The sequence below is a fragment of the Homo sapiens genome, chromosome 15 (assembly GCF_000001405.40).
Source record: "Homo sapiens chromosome 15, GRCh38.p14 Primary Assembly".
Classification (NCBI taxonomy): Eukaryota; Metazoa; Chordata; class Mammalia; order Primates; family Hominidae; genus Homo; species Homo sapiens.
In genome coordinates, this window is record NC_000015.10 from 37,004,542 (window position 1) to 37,026,116 (window position 21,575).

Sequence of the window (21,575 nt, forward strand, 5' to 3'; positions counted from 1 at the left end):
TACACGTGTCAGCATGCCCCATGTGCCCCATGTGCTTCAGATTGAGCTGCTTGCTCTTTGTACACGTCCACATCTCTGCCTCAAGGCCTGTCATTAGCACTCTTGATACCGCAGACTGATAGTACCCATGGAGATTCCAGAACAAGACCCAGACTTGGTCAGACAAAGCCCAGCAGGATCCCTTGCATAACACTAAGATCATGCCTTGGTAGGCTTTGAGCCACATCAGCCAACAAAACACTACATGGCAGATAATGTTCCATCAAGATTATAATCTAGTGTTACAATCAAGATTATGAGGCATGTTCCCAACACAAAGAAAAGATAAATGTTTGAGGTGATGGATATCCCAATTATCCTGATTTGATCCTAACACATTGTATGCATGTACCAAAATACCACATGTACTTCCCCCAAATATGTACAATTATGATATACCAATTTTAAAAACACAAGAAAAAAGATTATGGGGCAGAGAAAGTCATGTTGGAGCCTCTGGTTGATTTTACCTGATGTTCTAAAAAATTCCAATTCATAAAAACCATGTTGAAACATCTACTATCAAAAGCTTATTTAACTTGCCTTTTCAACATCATGGCTACATGAGCACACTGTGAAAGAAGTCATGTTCATTAACGCATGCCCTCACCATGATGTTATCCAGCCACTCCTGGTGAAAGTGAGTTTTTCTGTAAGTTCGTAATGAAATATAAAGCTGATTAGAAAAGTCAAAGGACATTTTTAGGAGAAAGAGTAAGATGATAAAAAACGAATATGAGAAAAGTGAACAGTGGGACTTCAGCAGGGAGTCAGTTGCTCAGTTGACTTAACTGAAAGCACGAATGGAACAATCTAGGTCTCCAGTGAATCCTCTGAGGAGCTCAAAGCTTTCAGGTGTGGTGGCAGCAACACCTCCCTCCAGGGACCAGCATGTCACAGTACCATTCCTGCTGACGCACCACCATCCAGACATTATTTACTAACTAGTTTACTGCATTCTGTAGGCCAGTCCTACCCATCATGATGGAACTTTTTTTTTTGAGATAAGGTCTCCCTCTGTCAACCAGGCTGAGTGCAGTAGCGTGATCTCTGCTCACTGCAGCCTCCGGGCTCAAGAGATCCTCCGCCTCTCAGCCTCCCAAGTTGCTTGGACTACAGATGTGCACCACCATGTCCACCTAATTTTTGTATTTTTTTTGTAGAGAGGAGGCGTTGTCATGTTGCCCAGGCTGGTCTCAAACTTCTGAGCTCAAGTCATCCGCCCTCCTTGGCTTCCCAAAGTCCTGGGATTACAGGTGTACGCCACTGGGCCCATGATGTAACTTTTGACAATGAGTTCCCAACACTAATTTGATTCCTATAGAAGAGGAATTTAACGGCATGACAAGTTATTTCTACGTATGTAAGTGAATGAATCTATTACACATCTCTCAATGAAATGGGGGGTTCTGTAAAGCACTTAAAGATCCTTTGGGAGGTGGAGTACTGAATCATTTTTATTGTTATACAATTACTTATAATCTTCTTCCCTTGTTCTAAGTATTTGTTTACATAAACTCTGAAACAAATAAATCTTGCCTGTGCATAATACACATTTTTTTTGCACTATTTGGACCACTGATTTTTCCATTTATTTAATTTTTTGAATGCTGACTTTTGATAGTGATTCAGCATTGCTACTGTTTTTCATACCATAAAAAATCATTAAACTGTTGACAGAAGTAAAGATAATTAGCTATAAATAATTCCCAAATTAAGCCATGGCCTGGCAGTATCTCTTTCCCTCTGAAGGATACAGAATGTTTGGGTATCGTAACCATATAAATTAATTTCACTTTATGCAAATGGTTACAATTTCTATTATCTGGAGAAATTAAGATGTCAGCTTTTCTAACACTTTCAGGGGTGTGACCTTATATCTTCTCCATCACAGCTTGATCCATGGTCTATAAACTATATTGTTCACCTTCAATCTATGCAAGTCTACTTTAAATCACTCCTTCCTTCATTACCTATCTTGTCCCTGTTCTCTACTCACAAATATTTGATAGCTATATGCGTCTCTTAATCACTAGGGCTAGTGCCAATGAAATTTTTTCCTCAAAAATCTTCCCTCTTACAACTGACGTAGCTCACTAGAGATGCAGAACTGTTCGTTGTTCACCTGACAAAAACTTAACTTGCTTCTTCATGGATAAGCCAATAACCATGTTAAATGCCTGAATAAAAGTAAAAACAAACTCCTGTTGGCTAAGTTTTTAAAGCCATTCTGTTGTAGCTTCATGAAAACATGTACTGCTTCATGTACTCTTTCCAGGCCAGACCCAGTTTTGAATGTATCTTTTTTAGAAGGAAGGGGTTGGAAATTGTTAAATATATATGAAAAGACTAAATCTGTGTGTCTTACACTGATAGCCGAGGTTGTAGGATCGTCTGCCACCTTTTACTAGCTGAGTAAGTCTAGACGAATATATTTAATCTCTCTGGGCATTATGTACTTGCTTAACATGTGAAATGAGAATAATAACAGTGTATAAGGCTGACAGTAAGGAATTAAACCTCTTTTGAGCATCCTTCCAACTTTAAGGATGGGTCCAATTTGTCTGAGGGCAATCCGATTTCCTTGCCAGTGTGACCAACTTCTGGCCCACATGAAAAGACTTTTGCTAGAGGCTTCTGGGAAGCCTAGCTCTCAAAAGAGATCCAGCCAGGTATATTAGAGCACAGCTGTAATCTCAGCTATCCAGGAGGCGGAGGTGGGAGGATCAATGGAAGCCAGGGGTTCAAGACCAGTCTGCGCAACATAGCAAGGTCCCATCTCAATAAATAAATAAATAAATAAGAAAGAAAGAAAAAGAGAATTCACAAGAAGCCACTTGGACCTGAATAAAGTGGCCTGTAGCCCTGGCAGTCATGTTACAACTATGCAGAAACCCTCCCTGAGGGTGGTGCCGGCATGTGAACAAAGAGCAGCAGAGACACCCTGGGTCTCTGGGGACATGACTGAACCACTGACTCTTGGAGTCCACCATACCACACACCTTGGAACTTCCTCACTATCCTTTAAGCCAGTTTGTGAAATATTTTTCTGTTATTTTAAGGCAAAAACATTCTAACTAACACAGCTTCCCATCACCTTTTTGTGAATACACACTTGGGGACCACTGATTTAGAAAATTCTCTGTTCCTCATTCTGATTCTTTAAAACTTCAATTTTAAAAACGCCATCTAAGATTAATGTCCATAAGCCTTTGCTATGTTAATAAAGAGGCAGTTGGTATTTTTGATAAATATCCTTGATGTTTCATCAGTATGCTAACACCTAGAATAATGTTGTCTGCAAGAGGTCTGCAGACCTCTAGAAAACAACTTTTCAATATATAGCAAAACTTAATGATTTTAAAACCTAACATTCTCCTCTTCATGTAAGAAATACAAGGGTAGGCTGAAACGTCTGCTATCAATAAGGATACCTTTTTAAAAATGTTAAATCGAACGCAGAGAATTAAACAGTAGAAAAGTATTCATTTTAATGCTACCATTATCCTGAATATAGCCGGTCAATGAAAGAATGTTTAAAGAATATTTCAATTTTTTTCCACTAGATTATTTTTAGTTTAATCACCAACTGCCTACAGATTATCTAGCTGGCTTGCTAACTATAGTTATATTCGCTCTAGGACAATGAACTTGGCGTTACATTTTTGACTGATTTATAAATTAGTAATAAAATCAACCCAATTTAATAAACCCAATGTTTTTAAAATGTATTTCTACCTATTTCCCATAGTTGGAAGTTTTGCATTTGTTCTCAAGTTTCACCAATGACCTTTGAACCATTTTCATGGATTTGTAAATGAGTGTAGGTGAGTAAAAGCCAGCAAAGATAAAACACAAAATGAAGTCTGCCATTTGAGATCTTTCACAAGAGTCACTTTCCTTTCAGAAAATTTATTCATTTAAGTCTTCTTATTTCTATAATAAGTCACCTCCTCAATTTTCCTATAATATTTTAAGTACACGAAAAGTTGAGTGGGATCTTTAGATAAAGACTTTCACTCACTTTAATATACTGTCAAAGTGATTTTTAAATATTTCAGAAAGTTTTTAACTGCTAAAAGGTAAAAGTTTGCCATTTGCTAGAAAATTATCAAAACTATTTTAGCTTATTTGGAGCAGGCATTAAAGTTATTGATTTGGGGGGAAAAAGAAAGAGCTAAGTATTTTTAAGTGAAGCATCACATAAGTGCCAGAACGCATTATAGGAACAAACATAAGAAACGACATTTTGTGCTGCACATATTTAGGTATAAAGGAGAATTTTCAGGCTGAGAATAAAGCAGAATGGAACCCTAAACCAGTAAACATATCTCCCCCCTCTTAAATTATCACTTTTTTCCATTGATTGAATTCCTTAAGATAACCCATAAAAGTATGGTCTCTGTGACCATAAGAATTAAAATAAGGGTCAGGCGTGGTGGCTTACGCCTGTAATCCCAGCACTTTGGGAGGCCGAGGCGGGCAGATCACAAGGTCAGGAGATAGAGACCATCCTGGCTAACACGGTGAAACCCTGTCTCTACTAAAAATACAAAAAATTAACCAGGCGTGGTGGCGGGCGCCTATAGTCCCAGCTACTCGGGAGGCTGAGGCAAGAGAATGGCATGAACCTGGGAGGCGGAGCTTGCAGTGAGCCGAGATCGCGCCACTGCACTCCAGCCTGGGCGACAGAGCGAGACTCCGTCTCAAAAAAAAATAAAAAATAAAAAAAAATAAGATGTCAACTTGAGCATAAACCCAATATAAATTTGGTCTCATCTTCACATTAATACATTTGGGGTTCAGGTTTGTTTTGTTTTGGGTTGGAAATATTTATTTCATTGACAAACAATTCCAGAGTGCAAACATTTGTCCTGTTAAGCTGAAGCCAATGTTTATTTTAGCACTGCTAGGATACCTAAGTGTTGTGTAAATGGGAAAATACTGGCTGGAGAAACATTTACACAAAAGATTGTGTCTATTAAGACAATGAAAGTGTTTTAAAATATATCCTTTGGAGTGAGTTTATGGCAATGAAGAATTACGCTTCAAATATTATGAAGTCATTCAATTTGGAAAAAGTATTCTAGAAACTTGCTTCCTAGTCTCTCTGATACTTCACAAAATTATCCTTGGAAAATTTAAAGATTTCTTCACTTCTTCAGTCTGCTATTGACAAGGATCTGGAGATTGAAAAGGAGGGTCTGAAAAAAATTGATTTGGGTACAAAAAATATAAATGAATGTTGACAATTCTAACATGTGTCTACATAGATACACAGAGTAAATATGGATATGAATTAAAAAACTAAATCAGTTAAACTAGCACCTAATGTATTTAGTGGTTGTTCAATAAAAGCAGAATAAGTGAATAAATGAATAAGAACATTGAATTAATGTCCTTACAGTTAATGGAGGTAAGGGAGACACACCCCATTTGATGTGTTCTAACCCATGCTTTTCACAGCCTGAAAAATAATCCTGGAAAGCACTGTGGGTTTTTTTTGTTTTGTTTTGTTTTGTTTTGAGACAGAATCTTGTTCTGTTGCCCAGGCTGGAGTGCAGTGGCGCGATCTCGGCTCACTGCAAGCTCTGCATCCTGGGTTCACGCCATTCTCCTGCCTCAGCCTCCCGAGTAGCTGGGACTACAGGCACCCACCACCACACCTGGCTAATTTTTTGTATTTTTAGTAGAGACGGGGTTTCACCATGTTAGCCAGGATGGTCTGGATCTCCTGACCTCATGATCCGCCCATCTTGGCCTCCCAAAGTGCTGAGATTACAGGCATGAGCCACCACGCCCGGCCTATTTCTTTGTTTTCAGACAGGGTCTCCCTCTGTACCCCAGGCTGGAGTGCAGTGACATGATCTTGGCTCACTGCAACCTGTGCCTCCTGGGCTCAAGAGATCCTCACCCCTAAGCCTCTGGAGTAACTGGGACTACAGACGCATGCCACCATGCCTTCCTAATTTTTTTTGGTAGACAGAGGGTTTCACCATATTGCTCAGGCTGGCCCTCGAACTCCTGGGCTCAAGCAATCCACCCCCATCGGCCTCCGCCAGTGCTGGGATTGCAGGTTTGAGCCACGGCACCCGGCCAAAAGCACTGTTTTAGATGAATCTCCAAAGCTCCTTAGCGTTATTCAGATCAGCTGTTTAAAATGAATTTTAAAACTTAATTGAATGGGGGTTGAGGGTGGATTTATTGCTGATCTAGCTTTATCTCTTGCTCCTTCCAAACTCACATTCACATCTCTACTTCCCTCACCCAAGAAAAATGTCTAATTCACAATATTAATTGCACCCAAAATGATTTAGGGAGCATAAGACAAATCAGGTCCAAGTTCACAAACACCGTCATTCTTATCATATCTCCTTTTGCCCATCTCTCTGTATTTAGCTTCAGGTTTAGCCACTGTTCTCCAAATGAAACAAAACAATAGTCTATTGCTCCTTACGAAGACATGACAGGGAAAGATTTATTGAACTGGAATGTACCTGAAATGTCATGTAGTCTATAGACCGTCCTCCAGATGAACACATGTAAATAGCTCTGTATGTAAGTATATTTTGGGTTAGGGATATTATATCACACAGAGTAAAAGCTCACTTACTAAATTTAGATACGTAACTTTTCAAAGTAGTTATCTCTTGTCTCCACACAAAATTCAGTCATGCAAATCTTATTCATTTCCCAATTTGTCACCTTCAATGATGACCAATTTCAGATGCAGTTGAATTATATAAGAGTTGCTTGGATATAAGTCCAAGATAGTTGAAATTTTCCAGGATAGTTAATTATACGCAGACATTTCAAAATAGAAAAATGAAGTTCTTTATTAAGATACAAATGTATATAGATGCAGAGTCCAAAAGAATTAGCTTTCTTGATTAATGAAAGTGTGTATTACTGATAATATGATAGAAACTGAAAAAGAGACATGTGCGTTGTCAGTAGCTGCATTTGACTTAAATTCTGTGAGCAATATGAAAAAAGATTATGTTTACAGACCAGCATCTATCAGTGGTTTTTTTTTTTTTTTTTTTTTTTTTTTTTTGAGATGGAGTCTCATTCTGTCACCCAGGCTGGAGTGCAGTGGCCTGATCTCGGCTCACTGCAACCTCTGCCTCCCAGGTTCAAGCAATTCTTTTGTCTCAGCCTCCTGAGTAGCTGGGATTACAGGCGTGTACCACCACACCTGGCTAATTTTTGTATTTTTAGTAGAGATGGGGTTTCATCATGTTGGTCAGGCTAGTCTGGAACTCCTGACCTCGTGATCTGCCCACCTCAGTCTCCTAAAGTGCTGGGATTACAGGTGTGAGGCACTGCGCCCGGTGGTGGTTTTACAGTCCATAGATCCCTATGTGAATAAAGATAGTTGTGGCTTGATTCATTGCCATATGTTTATTAATACCAGGTTTTACCTTAGGCTATTGGTTACAAACCTGTGTAGCAGTTTTTATTCAAGACAGATTAACACTCCTGACAGAGGGATCTACTCATTGATGCAGTTTTGTGGCATCAACACAATTAACTTTCCTTCATTGCACATCAGTGGCATGTTAAGTTTTTCCTAACAACCTCTACGGATGCATATAATCTCATCACAATATATGAAGCATGTCCAATAAAAGGAACATTGATGGGTACTTTGGTTCAATATAGCAGCAAGATTTTATAGAGGCTGGACCAAAGCAGGTGAAATTTGATCATTAAAACATCTCCTTGTTCCTCAGTCCTTTCCCAGTGGTATGGCCATGTTAGAAACCATAGATTGCTAAGAAAGAAGTGAATGAAGAGATGCACTATTTGTTTGCAAAGAAAGCATGCTTCCGTTTTTATCACTAACTGAACCTCAGAATCTAATCATGCATCCTATTCATAGGCCTGTTACAAAGTAGTCCACAGGTGACGTGTGCCCACAAAAAGGTCCCATGAATTTCACTGAGAAAATGTTACAATTCTTCCCCTATTTTGCATAGGTTCTACCTTACCACACTTTGCTTGTTTGTGTGTATACATGCATGTGTGTGCATCTATATACGGCCTATTTTACATATATTTGTAATATCAATATGCTACCTAGGGTACTACTATATGGCCATTTTTGCCAGCATGCTAGTTAAGATTGCCCTAATGTGTACAAATTCAATTACATTAAATTCTTTATTAGAATATCTTTAAATAATTTACTATAAATCTAATTTGGATTTGCAAGTCATTGACTATATTTTTCAGGTGTACATATGAAAGGTTAGAATAATATTTTTTCAATGTGGCTTTTTTTGGCACTTTAGGTATATATTACAGTATATAAATTTGTCTACCAATGTTTACCTCCTGCAAATGCATATTTCAATCTCAGTGACCCTAAAAGCTTGACAGTATTTGGGTTTTAAAAGGCATGAAATTATTTAAACAGAAAAAAAGAAGGATGAGTTCTGGAGGAGGGGACCACACAAGAACGCAAGTCAAAATGTTGATTCTTCTTCCCTAGGACTCTAGAGGTAGTGATGAGAGAAAGGAAACTGGCTTGGAAGATTTCATGGAGTCCAGGAGAATCCTTCCACTGAGAGTGCCAGATGGCACCTTACAGCAAAGCTCAGCCTGGATGTGAGAATAAGGCCTGAAGAAACGAGAGAGAAAGGATCTTACTTCTGAGGAACACAGAAGAGCAGAAGAGAGGAGAGGAAAAAAGATGATTTTAAGGCCAGGCACCGTGGCTCACACCTGTAATCCCAGCACTTTAGGAGGCCGAGGTGGATGGATCACCTGAAGTCAGAAGTTCAAGACTAGCCTGACCAACATGGTGAAACCCCGTCTCTACTAAACATACAAAAAATTAGCTGGGCATGGTGGTGGGCGCCTGTAATCCCAGCTACTCCAGAGACTGAGGCAGGAGAATCACTTGAACCCAGGAGGCAGAGATTGCAGTCAGCCGAGGTCACGCCTTTGTACTCCAGCCTGGGCAACAAGAGCAAAACTCCAACTCAAAAAAAAAAATTATATATATATATAATATTGCTAATATATTACATATATATATAATACATATATATATTCTAGGAGGAACTCAAACAGCTCAATGAATTCAGAGCTTTGGCAATGAAATAAAATTAACAACTACCACTCCTTATAACAACTTCTGGGTTAAGCAAAATAGAAATGACTATACCCATTTTACAACTGAAGAAACTGAAGCTCAGAGAGGTGAAACAACTTGTCCATTTAACCTGGTTTCTTAACTGGACTAACCTGGGACTGATATTCCTGGCTTACTCCTCTTTCCAGTATAAGCAGGCCACCTTACAGTATACTTGTGACAGTAGAGACAACATTTCTGTAACTTCACACTTGAGCATACAAAATCTCCACTTGGTGAAGAATCTCAGGGAGGAAGATATGGGCAAGAACCCAGGGAAACAAAGTATCTAGAGACTTAATGGCAAGATGAAATTTTGGAGGCTTTGAGTGGTGGTGGTAGAATGTTAACAATAGCAGAACACCAGGAAGCCTGTTTAAGGGTGCTTTGGGTCCATTTTGTCACATTGCTTCACAAACTACTGTGATCTATTGCAAAGAACTTCTTAAACCCACTGCTTAGATATATGTGAAGCGTAGACCCAGTTACAAGACACAAAACCACAAGACCTTTATCTGCACTTCAAAGTCAGCACAAAAACAAGGGTCGATTATCTCCCAAATTGCCAAACTAATTCTCAAAGCCCAAATGCTTCCAATCCTAAGTGTGGATGCAGTACTATATCTGAGAAAAGAGAATGACTGTGTGGGGAAATGACATCATAACACCAAGATGATTGAGCCACAAATGGAAAAATGAGCTCTTCCCAAAAGAGAGAAAACAACTGATAAAATAGTGCCAAGGTTTGCCTAAAGAGACAAGAGAGAACATCTAAGAATGGGGGATAAAAATCTACATATGTTGTTTTGGTGTCTGACACAATCATCCTAAACCAAATGCATTTTGATTTGAACTTAATTCTGGAATTTTTTATTGTTTAGACCCAAGAGATTTCAATGGCTGATGACGGCACTCAGGCAGGTTTCCTGGACCATCCAATCAGAAGTCCTCTCAAGTTTGGTAACACAAAGTCCAGCTTCAGAGCACAGGTTACTTCAATTATCGTCTCCAACTGTCACTAGGTAACACTCAAAAGTTCTCTAAATGCCAAACAGGAAAGGGCCTTAGGGGGCATTCCTCAACGGATCACTCCCTTCAGGCACTTAGGTCATAGGTCTAAGGGTTTTTTTTTTTTTTTGCTCCTTATCAGCACCATAGATTTTTAACTATGGACCTGAACAGATTGGGATAAAAGGAAACACAACTGTACCACCAAACTCTCATTCTTTTTAATCATAAAAGTACTTAATTCAGAAACTTTAGGGGAAACAAATTCTTTTCTTTCCCAGAATCAGAATTGCACTGACATTGTGGCCCAACATGTGACTTGAGCTCAAGTATACACTAAAGTGAAAAGCTATTGTCAATATTTAGCGGAACGCTATGCCATGTCGGAGGCAGTATCAGCTTCCTAATACCAAAAGAAAATTCACGTATCACAGGGCTACTGAGAAGAAGTAACGTGCAGCCCCAGAGGGCACAGATTTCTGCTTTATGTAAATCAGAGCCTGTCACGGCATGCATGATTCACTGCTCAGGGTGTACTCTCCTGTGACGAATGAGTCCCGCTTAATTTGGCAGTGATTATGCGGGTTGCTGGCCCTCTAAACCCCTTTGAACTTGTAATTGCTGCTGGTTTAAATAATGAACATTAAGGGGAGTTGAATTCATAAAACTGTAGATAATTACATTTTTTTTCTTTTCCCCCTTTGTTTTGGTGCAGGAGTATATCCACACACACACACATGCACACACACACACAAACACACTTCTAAGGCCACCGATCACTGTATCATGCCAGGATGTTATCGAAATAAACTGCAGTCTTGTTCCAGGGTTGGTCAGGGAGGGCAGATTTGAGGTGGGGGAAGTGTGGGGTGGGTGGCAGGGGGAGCATCTGGGAGCTGTGCAAGAGGAAGATCAGAAAGGCCTGGATGCTCTAGGAAAGGAGGAGCAATGGCACTCATGAATATTCATAGCTAGTCACATCTGTAGCAGGCTTGCTTTCTACCTTTTTTTTCCCCCTGTGCAGTGCAACATAGAGCACCAGTGCAAACAAAAGGAGGGAATTTTGCAGCTTCACGAGGCTCTAGATATCCTCGTGGTGGTGAACTTTCTCCATGCTTTTACATTCTACATATGGATTTTTAAAGTATATAGTAGGAGATGTGTATATCCTTTCTTTCTATAACGAAAGAAAACCATCCTGTCCCCACATTTATGAAGTGGAAGAAATCACACACTCCCACAGCACATGGATGACTCAAAGCCAGTCCTCCTTTCCCCCTTCTTTCCCCAACCATTGGTAAAAATCACCCAGTATTCTTTGATCCAGGAAAAAACAAATTTTGATTTTATTTGGAGAAAAATGAAACGTTACTGATGGGAGGGGGCAGAATCCAAAGTTAGCCAAGTCAGCTAGCTCTTCCCCTCCCTGAAACAACAAAGAATGAATGATAAATTTAGCAGCCTCATGTTCAGTTTTCAAACAACACTGCTGAGATTTATAGCTTCACTGCTCCCATGGCAAACTAAGCTGCACACAGAAAGCTATCTGTTTTTGATTTCACTCTGTTTTCTCCAGTTTTTGTTCTTTTTTCTATTTGCAGTGTTTTTTTTTTTTAACTCTACATTTTCTTTTTCCTGGTGTGAGTCGAATATCAAAGGCTAGTGCTGTTGGTAAGCCTCCAGTTTGCGAGAGCCACTCAATGAGATGTTATTAAACCTGCGTCACAACATGGCAGACGGTGATTAATAGCAACTGTATCAACGGTAGCAACTTAAAAAAAAGTCCCTCCAGCAGCTCGAAAAGGGATCAGTGAAGTAAGAATAAGAAACGTCTGCCAGAACCCAGGGCCCAAGATGTTCTTAGAGAGTAGAGTACCCTGGGATTGTGTTTGACAGAAAGAAAAAAGAAATTCCTACTATTATGCATATAATAGGAACTTTTGCCTTTAACTAAGTCACTTATACTTAAAACAGCTACACATTATAAAACAGCTACACATTAATTTAAAATGAAGTCTGTGTACAGCTTAGGAATCATTTTATTGATGCAATGGTGTCCCCCAAAATAACTAGCAGATGGATTTCCACCCCCTCAATGAAACACTGAAACAAATTGCAGAATTGTCAAAATTTTATCGTGAAGGCACACACTCTATAAAAAGGTTGATTTAAGTGAATTGTAAATTTGCTTCATTGCACAATATTTTTCTAAAATTATAACCGGAAAGTATTCTCTGTTTAATTTTTTAGCATATCCTTTCACAAAACACATCTGCTGTGAAGTATTTCTAATTTGTGCTAACTGCTTTTTAACAAACACACACTTGTCACTATGCCATCTAGTTTTATTAGGGCAAAAAAGTACATTCCCCTCCAATCTCTTTGTAATAAGGATTTTGACCTGTTTCTGATGACGCAAACCGATAGAAAATAATAAAATTGTTTGAACATCAAACACGAGTGACACATAGGAGGTTAAAAAAATGAGGAAGAATGAAAATGCAGTCAAACCAGAAAGTCAAAGAGAACATGGTAAAGGAGACGAAATGGCTATAATTGTGGAGAAAGAATAATCGTCTACACAGAGTGTGGGCGGGGTTGGTGGCTCATCCCTGTAATCCCTGCACTTTGGGAGGCTGAAGTCAGAGGATCCGCTTGAGCCCAGGGATTCGAGACCAGCCTGGCCAACACAGCAAGACCCTGTCTCTACTAAGAGTAAAACATTTAGAAGTGAACTGGGTATGGTGGGTCATGCCTGTAGTCCCAGCTACTTGGAAGGCTGAGGTGCAAAGATCGCTTGAGCCCAGAAGTGCAGCGAGCTATGATGGTGCCACTGCACTCCAGCCTAGGCAACAGAGCAAGAACCGGCCTCACACACAAAAAAGTGCCTGATTATATCTCATTATGAGAAAGGTAATAAGCAGACTAAAAAAAGAAAAATACCGCTAACTAAGAGATAGACCAACCACAGCAGGGAAGGAGGACAGGATGCACTCTCACTCTGAGTGAAAATGGAGATCACCTAGCAACAGTACAAGTCCTCTTTTTATTCCTTCATTTATTTCTATCTCACACCCCTCTTTTGTGTTCCGTCAAGCAAAATGGGATTCTATGGTGTTTAGGACAGAGGTGAAACAATGACACCAAAAATTTTGAATTTATTTTACCTTCCAAATTATTAGGGAAATTTAAAAGTATTTGTCCCCTTAAAGGGCCAACATAGTGATTAAGAGCCAACCTCCCCCAGTATTTAATGCAGGCAATGTGGTAAGTGCCTGGCCCATCATTATCTCCTTTGTCCATCCTAACAACCCTAGGAGGAAGTATTATCATTATCCCTATTTTACAAAGATAAGAAATGGAGACTGTTAACAAGTTAAATAACTTGTGCAAGACAGCTCAGCTAATAAGAGATATTGAAGCTCCATCCAAGCTTTCAGTCACTCTATGATCACTGAATATTTTCTTTATATGTGGAATAAAAAATCCATATGCTCAAAATATTTTACATGTTAATCTTCATGGAATCATAGAGAGCAATAAGAAACAATTACTGGACCTTGCCGGCATCTAAATGATCCAAGGAATGTCTTCACTTCTTTACAGCATAGGACCTTGCGCATGTGCTTCAGAAGAAGGAGAAACGTGGCAATCTAGCCAGTAAGACCCACATCATCTCATCAATGTTTTAGATTTATTATATTATGCAACTTCAATCTATCAGGCTTATAATATACAATTTTTAAAGTAGTGTTGGTTTTTGTGGAAAATGTAAATAGTATCTATACATGCAAAACAAATTATTTCATTTATATAACTGAGTTATGAGAACAAAAATTATTATTGTGTAAGCTGATTTGGAGTCCGAGTATTAAAGGCAATGAATTTTACCACTAGAATTTAGACTTCTTGAAATACCTAAGAATCCAAGTAGATTTCTACCCATTCATTCATAAACAAGCAAATAAAAGAAAAAATTCCCTTATAATGTACCAGTACAACAGAAGAAACTCATGACATCAAGATGGAAAGATGATTATAATTTGATAACTCCACTAATGGCAGGGGGTAAGGCACACATAATACAAAACTTCCAATTAGCCTCTGCTTCTCTCCTTAAAAACAGGCCAGGGAATGGAGAAGTCTGGAGTGCTGTGGCCCCATCGCTAATGGTTAAACATACTCTGGGTAATGACAGTCCCAAACATCACCCAGCAGGCCAGGTCGGTCATTGATGGTCCCACACTACATTAACTCCAGCTTCAAGCCAAGAGGACTAGTCCCAGACCACCCGCAGCTATAATTTATGTCATGGGGTGAGGGTTGGAATGAGAAGAGAAAAAGTAATTATTGAGTACCAACCTTGTTCAAGAGAGATAGACTGTTTTACATATTCTATTTTTTTCAGTTCCACCCCACCCTGACAATCTGACCCATTTTACAGATGAAGAGTTAAAGATGTTAAATAACTCATCCAAATAAACAGCACTAGTAAGTAGCCTCCTGTGAATCAAACCAAAGTCGATCTGAGCACAAGTATTGCATGAGCTACTAAGAATTTCTACCTTTCTGTTTCACCCCTTGTGTAGAAGAGGCATAAGAACTGAAGGTCATGGGGCAAGTCACTGTCAAAACTTTGATATTTTTACATTCTTTTTGTCTACCACCCCTGTGCTTTCTCATTCATCTTCACCAAGCTATGTCAATGGAATATGCATTGTATCTGTAGTGCACAGATGACAATTTAAATGAGTATTTGGGAGTAGTATTTTGCTATAGAATCATGACGACACCACTTCTTCAATTAAATTGCAAAGCATTCAGGAACTTAAAGTAAATGACTCTCTAGATCACTCATGGGGATAAATTTAGAGCCCCAAAGAGAAAGCAAAATATCTGGTTTGTGCACATGCATATGGCCCGTAGAGGGTAGGGAGAGCATAGTGTGGGGAGGAAGAGAGCTGCACATGGTGAAACGCAGGGCCCAACAGCAGGCCCTGGTCTTAGGTGCTGCCAGGTTCATTCCAACTGCTCACAGTGTGGATTTCAAATATAATCCAAACAGAAGTGACAAAATCCAAAACCACAGGAGCAAGCACTGGCTTTCAAGTGCTGTGGGAACAGAGACATTTGTTTAAGTAACCACTGTTTTAAAATTGCATACATAGTAACACCAAAATAAACAGCTTGCGATGCTGTTTATTTTAAGATACACAATAGTAATGTAAAGTGTGGCATGCCCCAGATCCGGGGAGCTCGAACATAATTTACAGTTGTAGAGAGCCCTACGAGGACTCAGCTACACGCCAGGACTGTCTACTTCCTGATTAGATAACAGCGAAGGTCAGAAGGCATTGCTTTTTGTGCAGCAAAGAGCCAACAAGCCACCACAAAGACCCTGCTCCTCCTGCTCGCTGTGAATTATGAATCGGGTCCTGTGGAGAGCGGGGTTTGCCAAGTCTCCTCTACAAAGCGTGTATTAATCACAGGTCCTGAGGAGGGGTCAAGAGCACAGTCTGACAAACCGGGAAATGAGTCTCGTCTGCTGACCTCGCTTCCCTCAGTCCTTACCCTCCCTGATCTAAAACCCAACCAAAGAAGGAAAAGAAAGAGAGGAAAAAAATCCTGAAAATACACAAGCTGGTTGGGCGCCGAAGCATATGTAAAACTGAACTCTAAGGAAAAGCAGCTAGATCAAACAAACCTTACACATAATCAAAATAAGAACTCAATTTGTGGCTTATTTTAGCCAACCGAATAGTCCTCCCCACGCCTTCTTTGCTCCTCTTTCCTGCCTCCATCCAGGTGCTTTGAGGAAACATTTGAGGGATCTTTATCTCAGGTTCTCTACTCCAAGATAAGATAGTATTTTAGAGAGCTTTATTAGTGCCTGGGTCTAGCAAAGACCTGTAATCCTAATGGCATTACTCTTGGCATTCTGGTCTTTTTTTTTTTTTTTAATCTCACCACAACCTAAATTAACTTGCCTCGTTGCCCTCATCCTCACTGGCTGTGTTATGGGGGAAAAAAAAACCCATAAACCTTTGAACTTTTCCATACACATAATTCCATATCCTTGATTTTTTTTTAAACTTATGTTTGTCCTAAAATATTGTTAAGCTAAAAACTCTGCTCTGAACTGAATTAAGTCCTCCCAAATTTTGTGTGTTGAAACCCCAGCCTCCATATGATACCTATTTGGAGATAGGGCTTTTAGGAGGTAATTAAGGTTAAATGAAGTCAGAGGAAATGTTATGCAGGGACAGGGAGAAGGTGGCTGTCTGCAAACCAGGAGAGAGCCCTCACCCAACAATAACCCTGCTGCACCTGGCTCTTGGACTTTCCAGCCTCCAGAACTGTGAGAAAATAAATGTCTGTTGTTTAAGCCACCCAGGCTATGGTATTTTGTTATGGCAGCCCTAGCTAACTAATATACTCTTCTACTAAAATTATTCATTTTTCCTCCTTACCAGTACCTCTGGAATTAAGGACAAGAAACTAGACTGTTCTCTCTTCCCTTTCTTCCCTTATTGCCTGCTCCCAGCCCCTACCTAAGACTTTCCAGCCACTTTTCTCATGAAGCTCACAGCATTTGCTTTCTTTCCTCTTCACAGTTGTTGAGAGAAGAATGTTGACTTTTAAGCCACTCCCTCTTTCCCCTACGACTTATGTACATGCTAGAAAGTTCTCCATCCCATGGCTTGCCCCTACTTTTGAAAACTCCAATATGTATGACAAAGGCCTGTCTAATATCTTGCCTGTCTCATTTCCAATGTTATCCATCTCTACTTTATCAGCAGAAAATTCATCAAACAGAGATGTTGCACCTCCAAGATTACAAACCTAAAAATGTTCTTTCTCTGCTTCTCTGTTTCTCTCTCTTATTCTGCACCTGGACTTGCAACCCCTTGGTGGGTTTCCAGTGTTCCCAGTGTGTTACCACACTTTATTTCTCCCCCTTAGCCAACATGGTTCTTTATTAAAATAAAATTTATTATTCTGTATTATCAATGCAATACACATTACATAGAAACTTTCTAATATAAAAAGTAAAAATGTCACCTAGATCTCCCTACCCAAGGATAATCATTCATATGTTCTGTGCATATGTCCATATATATTTTCTCTAATAAAATTAAAATTATATCATAAATACTGCCTTACCCGGTTTACTTTGCCTAGCAACACATAGAGATTTCCCCTTATCTCAAAATACTTTTGGAATATAATTTTTAATGGTTACACAGTAGTCCATAACGCTCCATAACATTCCATATCTCCTACATTTGAGAATATAGGTGACTTTCAATTTTTTATTATAATAAATATCTTTATACATAATTTTGCATAATTTTTGTGTACTTTTAGAATTATTTCTTCATGACAAACTCCTAGAAATGGAATTACTAGATCAAAGAAGAGAAAATTTTTAGTTGTTTTCTTTTTTTAACACATATTACTAGTTTATATTCCAGAAAGACCATGTCAACTTTTATAGTCATTATTAAGTTAGATATTTCCTTCTACCCTGGACAGTGCCAGATATTATAATTTTTTATTCTCAGTTTCCACCAAATAAAAATCTCTTGTTGTTGATTTTTAAATTTATTTGGTCCCAACCTTGGCCTCACAAGTGGCTGGAACTAAAGGTGCACACCAGCACACCCAGCTAATTTATTTAACTTATTTTTATTTTTTTGTAGAGATGGAGTGTCACTATGTTCCCCAGGCTGGTCTTGAAATCCTGAACTCAAGAGATCCTCCCACCTCTGTCTCCCAAAGTGCTGGGATTACAGGCATGAGCCACCACACCAGGCCAATGCTGAACATTTTTTAAATGCTTACCAGTCATTTGTATTTCAGCTTTTGTGAATGGACCTATTCATCTTTTGACTTTTTATTCACTTCATTGTTTTTTCTTTTTTTTGAGACAGAGTCTTGCTCTGTCGCCCAGGTTGGAGTGCAGTGGCGCAAGCTCAGCTCACTGCAACCTCGTCTCCCAGGAGGGAGCAATTCAAGCAATTCAAGCAATTCTCCTGCCTCAGCCTCCCGAGTAGCTGGGACTACAGGCGCCTGCCAGAACACCCGGCTAATTTTTGTATTTTTAGTAGAGACGGGGTTTCACCATCTTGGCCAGGCTGGTCTTGAACTCTTGACCTCGTGATACACCCTCCTCGGCCTCCCAAAGTGCTGGGATTACAGGCGTGGTCCACTGTGCCCAGCCTGCTTCAATTTTTTTCTTACTGATTTGTACAATGCTTTATTTATTAGGGACACTAATCCTTTGCCTGTTATATAATGTTACATATTTTTGCTAGTTTAGTGTTTTTCTTTATTTTGTATATGCTGTTTTCTTGGCATTCAAAAGCTCTTAATTTTCAAATGTATGTAATTTAATCTATCACAGTTTTTCTTTATAATTCCTTTGCTTTTACTCTCAAAACATTTCATTAAACGAAGGAAAGAGAAATAGTCATGTCTACTTCAAAAAACTCTTAAATGTATATTTTGATGAAGACTACTGATGATTTTTTTCTCAACTGACTTGAAGTGATGCCTTTAAAATTAGTAAATTTCTTTCTATATTTGGGTTGATTTGTGAATTCCTATTTTGTTCAAATGATCATTGTGCCTATTGTGTCAGCCAGTGCCACGTCATGTAGCTTTATGATACATTTTAGTAATTCTCAGTGCACAAGCTCCCTCATTTTTCTTTTCCAAAAATATCTTGACTTTTCTTAGTTGTTTTATTATTCACATGAACTGTAGGATTATTTTTCTGTCCCAGGAAAGATTATCTCATTGGAATTCTTACTTACTGGTCTGTCATTTCAAAAACTGCTCTAACATCTTCCCTCTCCTCCCCTTGTTGATCTCACCCTTAGGTTTTTCCTGTTGTCTGCTTTAGTCCCTCTTGCTCTTTGGTGCTGAGACTGCCTGAGAAAGGATGAGATGATGTGGAGAGAGTCCATTCAGCCCGGCCCTTTTTGCTCCAAGTCTGCATTTCCGTGCCTTCCTAATTCACTCTCCATCACCCTCGCCACAGTTCCTAGTCATAAGTGAAGAGAAGCTTTTTCCTGACCTCCCTCAGCTTTCTTGCTATCTTTACAAAATGTTTGTTTCTTAGTACCTTCCCAGGTGTGCTTTGGTCCCCATCTTCACTGGCCTCCTTTTCTCTCTCTTTTTTTTTTTTTTTTTTTTTTGATGGAGTTTTGTTTTGTTGCCCAGGCTGGAGTGCAGTGGCACTCAGCTCACTGCAACCTCCGCCCCCAGGGTTCAAGCAATTCTCCGGCCTCAGCCTCCCGATTAGCTGGGATTATAGGCACCCAGCTAATTTTTGTATTTTTAGTAGAGATGGAGTTTCACTATGTTGGCCAGGTTGGTCTTGAACTCCTGATGTCAGGTGATCCACCCGCCTCGGCCTCCCAAAGTGCTGGGATTACAGGTGTGAGCCACTGCGCCTGTCCTGTCCTTGATCTTTCTACAGAATCCACTTCCTCTACTTTGAAACTCCTTTCCTCTTCACATGATCTGATTATGCTCCTACTGGTCTGATGTCTTTATCTCTGCTCACTACTTTCTTTCTCCACCTCTTCACATATAGTCTTCAAAAAGACTCAAACCCCGTTCTCTCTCTGCACTGTCTCTTATTTTAACCTTTATTCAGTGCCATGGTTTCAAGTATTACCTCTACAAAGATTAGCTCCAACTCTCAAACTATAGTGCCACCATTTTCAGCTTCCACAGAAGTTCATCCACCTGGATATCTGGCTGGTGCGTCTAAACCTAAGGCCTCTATATACCTTTAGAAGCTTTCCTCACTCTTCTCCCATTCATATTCTGTGCTTTCGTCTAACTGAGCTGTAACATCTGAAATCTCTGTATGTAGAATCAAAGAAAGCCTGATTAAGCATCCAGATTGAAACTGTCTTCAGGGGAAAAATAAAATTCCACTTATCACTTGCTGCAATGAGACAATTCTGTCTAGTACCAGACTTTGCCTTCCTTGGAATGGGCCTATGAGATCGCCATTTAGAGATGTAAAACAATTCTTCTCCACCAGCTTGACCAGGATGAAAAATGGCATGCTGATGGACAGTTAATTCTCAGGATGAAGAGTTTAGGAACAAAGAACAAAGATGCCCAAAGCCCCAACCAGCTTGCTCCAAAGCTGTAATAACACAAGTGACAATACGTTTATTGTGAAGTTAGTTTGCAGTCTTCCAGTTCTTTCTCTTAAGTTTGAGTGTACAAATTCCAAAAGTTACTTTGACTCATGCTGCCACATATGAATGGTCTGTCAGGTCTTTTGCCTTTCTCTTGCACATGTGCTATGTGTAGGATTTGATCCCCATTCCAGACTTAGGGCAAAAGAAACAAGTGCAATACTTGTCTTTGAAGAGTGTGTCACTCACATCCAAGTTCAGGTTTCATGGAGCTATGACAGAGCAAACTATTTCAATGGATTATATGAAAACATTAATAGACACCAGTTTACACTTGCACAGTATTTTGTCCTTCTCAGAAGGCTATTTCTAATCTTAGCTAACCCTCAAAACAATGAGGTAAGAAAACGAGCACTCAGATAAATTAAATAACTTGCTCAAAATAATCCAGGGAGCAAAAGGCTGTGCTAAGACTAGGACACTGGTCAAATCTTAATTTGGTCCTAACTCCACTGCTTCTGGTATATATATAACCTTATACATGGTAGAGATTTCTTTCACCGTGCCCTGAAATGTTTGCTTTTATCAACACAAAGAGTTAACAGATTGTCCTCACTATCTAAAGGTAGGAAAGTCACTTTTTTTTTTAAATGAATTACAGACATTTCTATTGTCTGCTCCAACCACAGAGGTCCAACCATAGAGTCATGAGAATTTAAGCATACCTCTTTTTATGTAACTGATTATATATACATTTTAAATAAGCATGGGGGTATTTGGAATAGCCATGGACAAACGGGTACAAGTACATAAGGACCAAAGAGCATGAAATCATTTTTCTGTCAAACTTGCTCTGCAAAAAAAAAAAAAAAATCAAAAATTTTAGAGGATTTCCAGACTGACAACAAAGGTCATATTAAAAACTAATGCCTTTTCACACGATCATATTTAATTACATTTAAGTGTTTTACTAGAAAACATAAAACCTTCAGGTCTAAGCTCTAAGAGGGGTTTTTATCAAAGTGCCATCAGGTAATCCATGAGATTTTGCTACACAGTTCTAAATTTATGGCTTCACAGAAACTAACAGAAAAACTGAGCCTATAATTGAATAATAATGACCCCATGTTCCCATGTTCTCTTACTACTTTAAAAAAAAAATCACTGTGAGGAAGGGTTTAAAACAAGTATAGCAACTCATGAGCTGCCTGCAGGTATCT

General features: G+C 39.2%; 1 protein-coding gene across 9 annotated transcripts in view, besides 1 other annotated feature; it reads right to left on the bottom strand.

The window, feature by feature from the left end:
- The window catches only part of MEIS2 (Meis homeobox 2), a 212,108-nt gene that overhangs the window by 115,338 nt on the left and 75,195 nt on the right, over nucleotides 1-21,575 (bottom strand). The gene's annotated exons all lie outside the window — the stretch shown is intronic.
- Nucleotides 15,347-15,641: an enhancer, noted in NCBI's record as "tiled region #4521; HepG2 Activating non-DNase unmatched - State 1:Tss, and K562 Activating DNase matched - State 5:Enh". NCBI's record gives its function as "activates a minimal TATA promoter and a strong SV40 promoter by Sharpr-MPRA in HepG2 and K562 cells {active_cell/tissue: HepG2 | K562}" and the evidence as "EXISTENCE:reporter gene assay evidence [ECO:0000049][PMID:27701403]".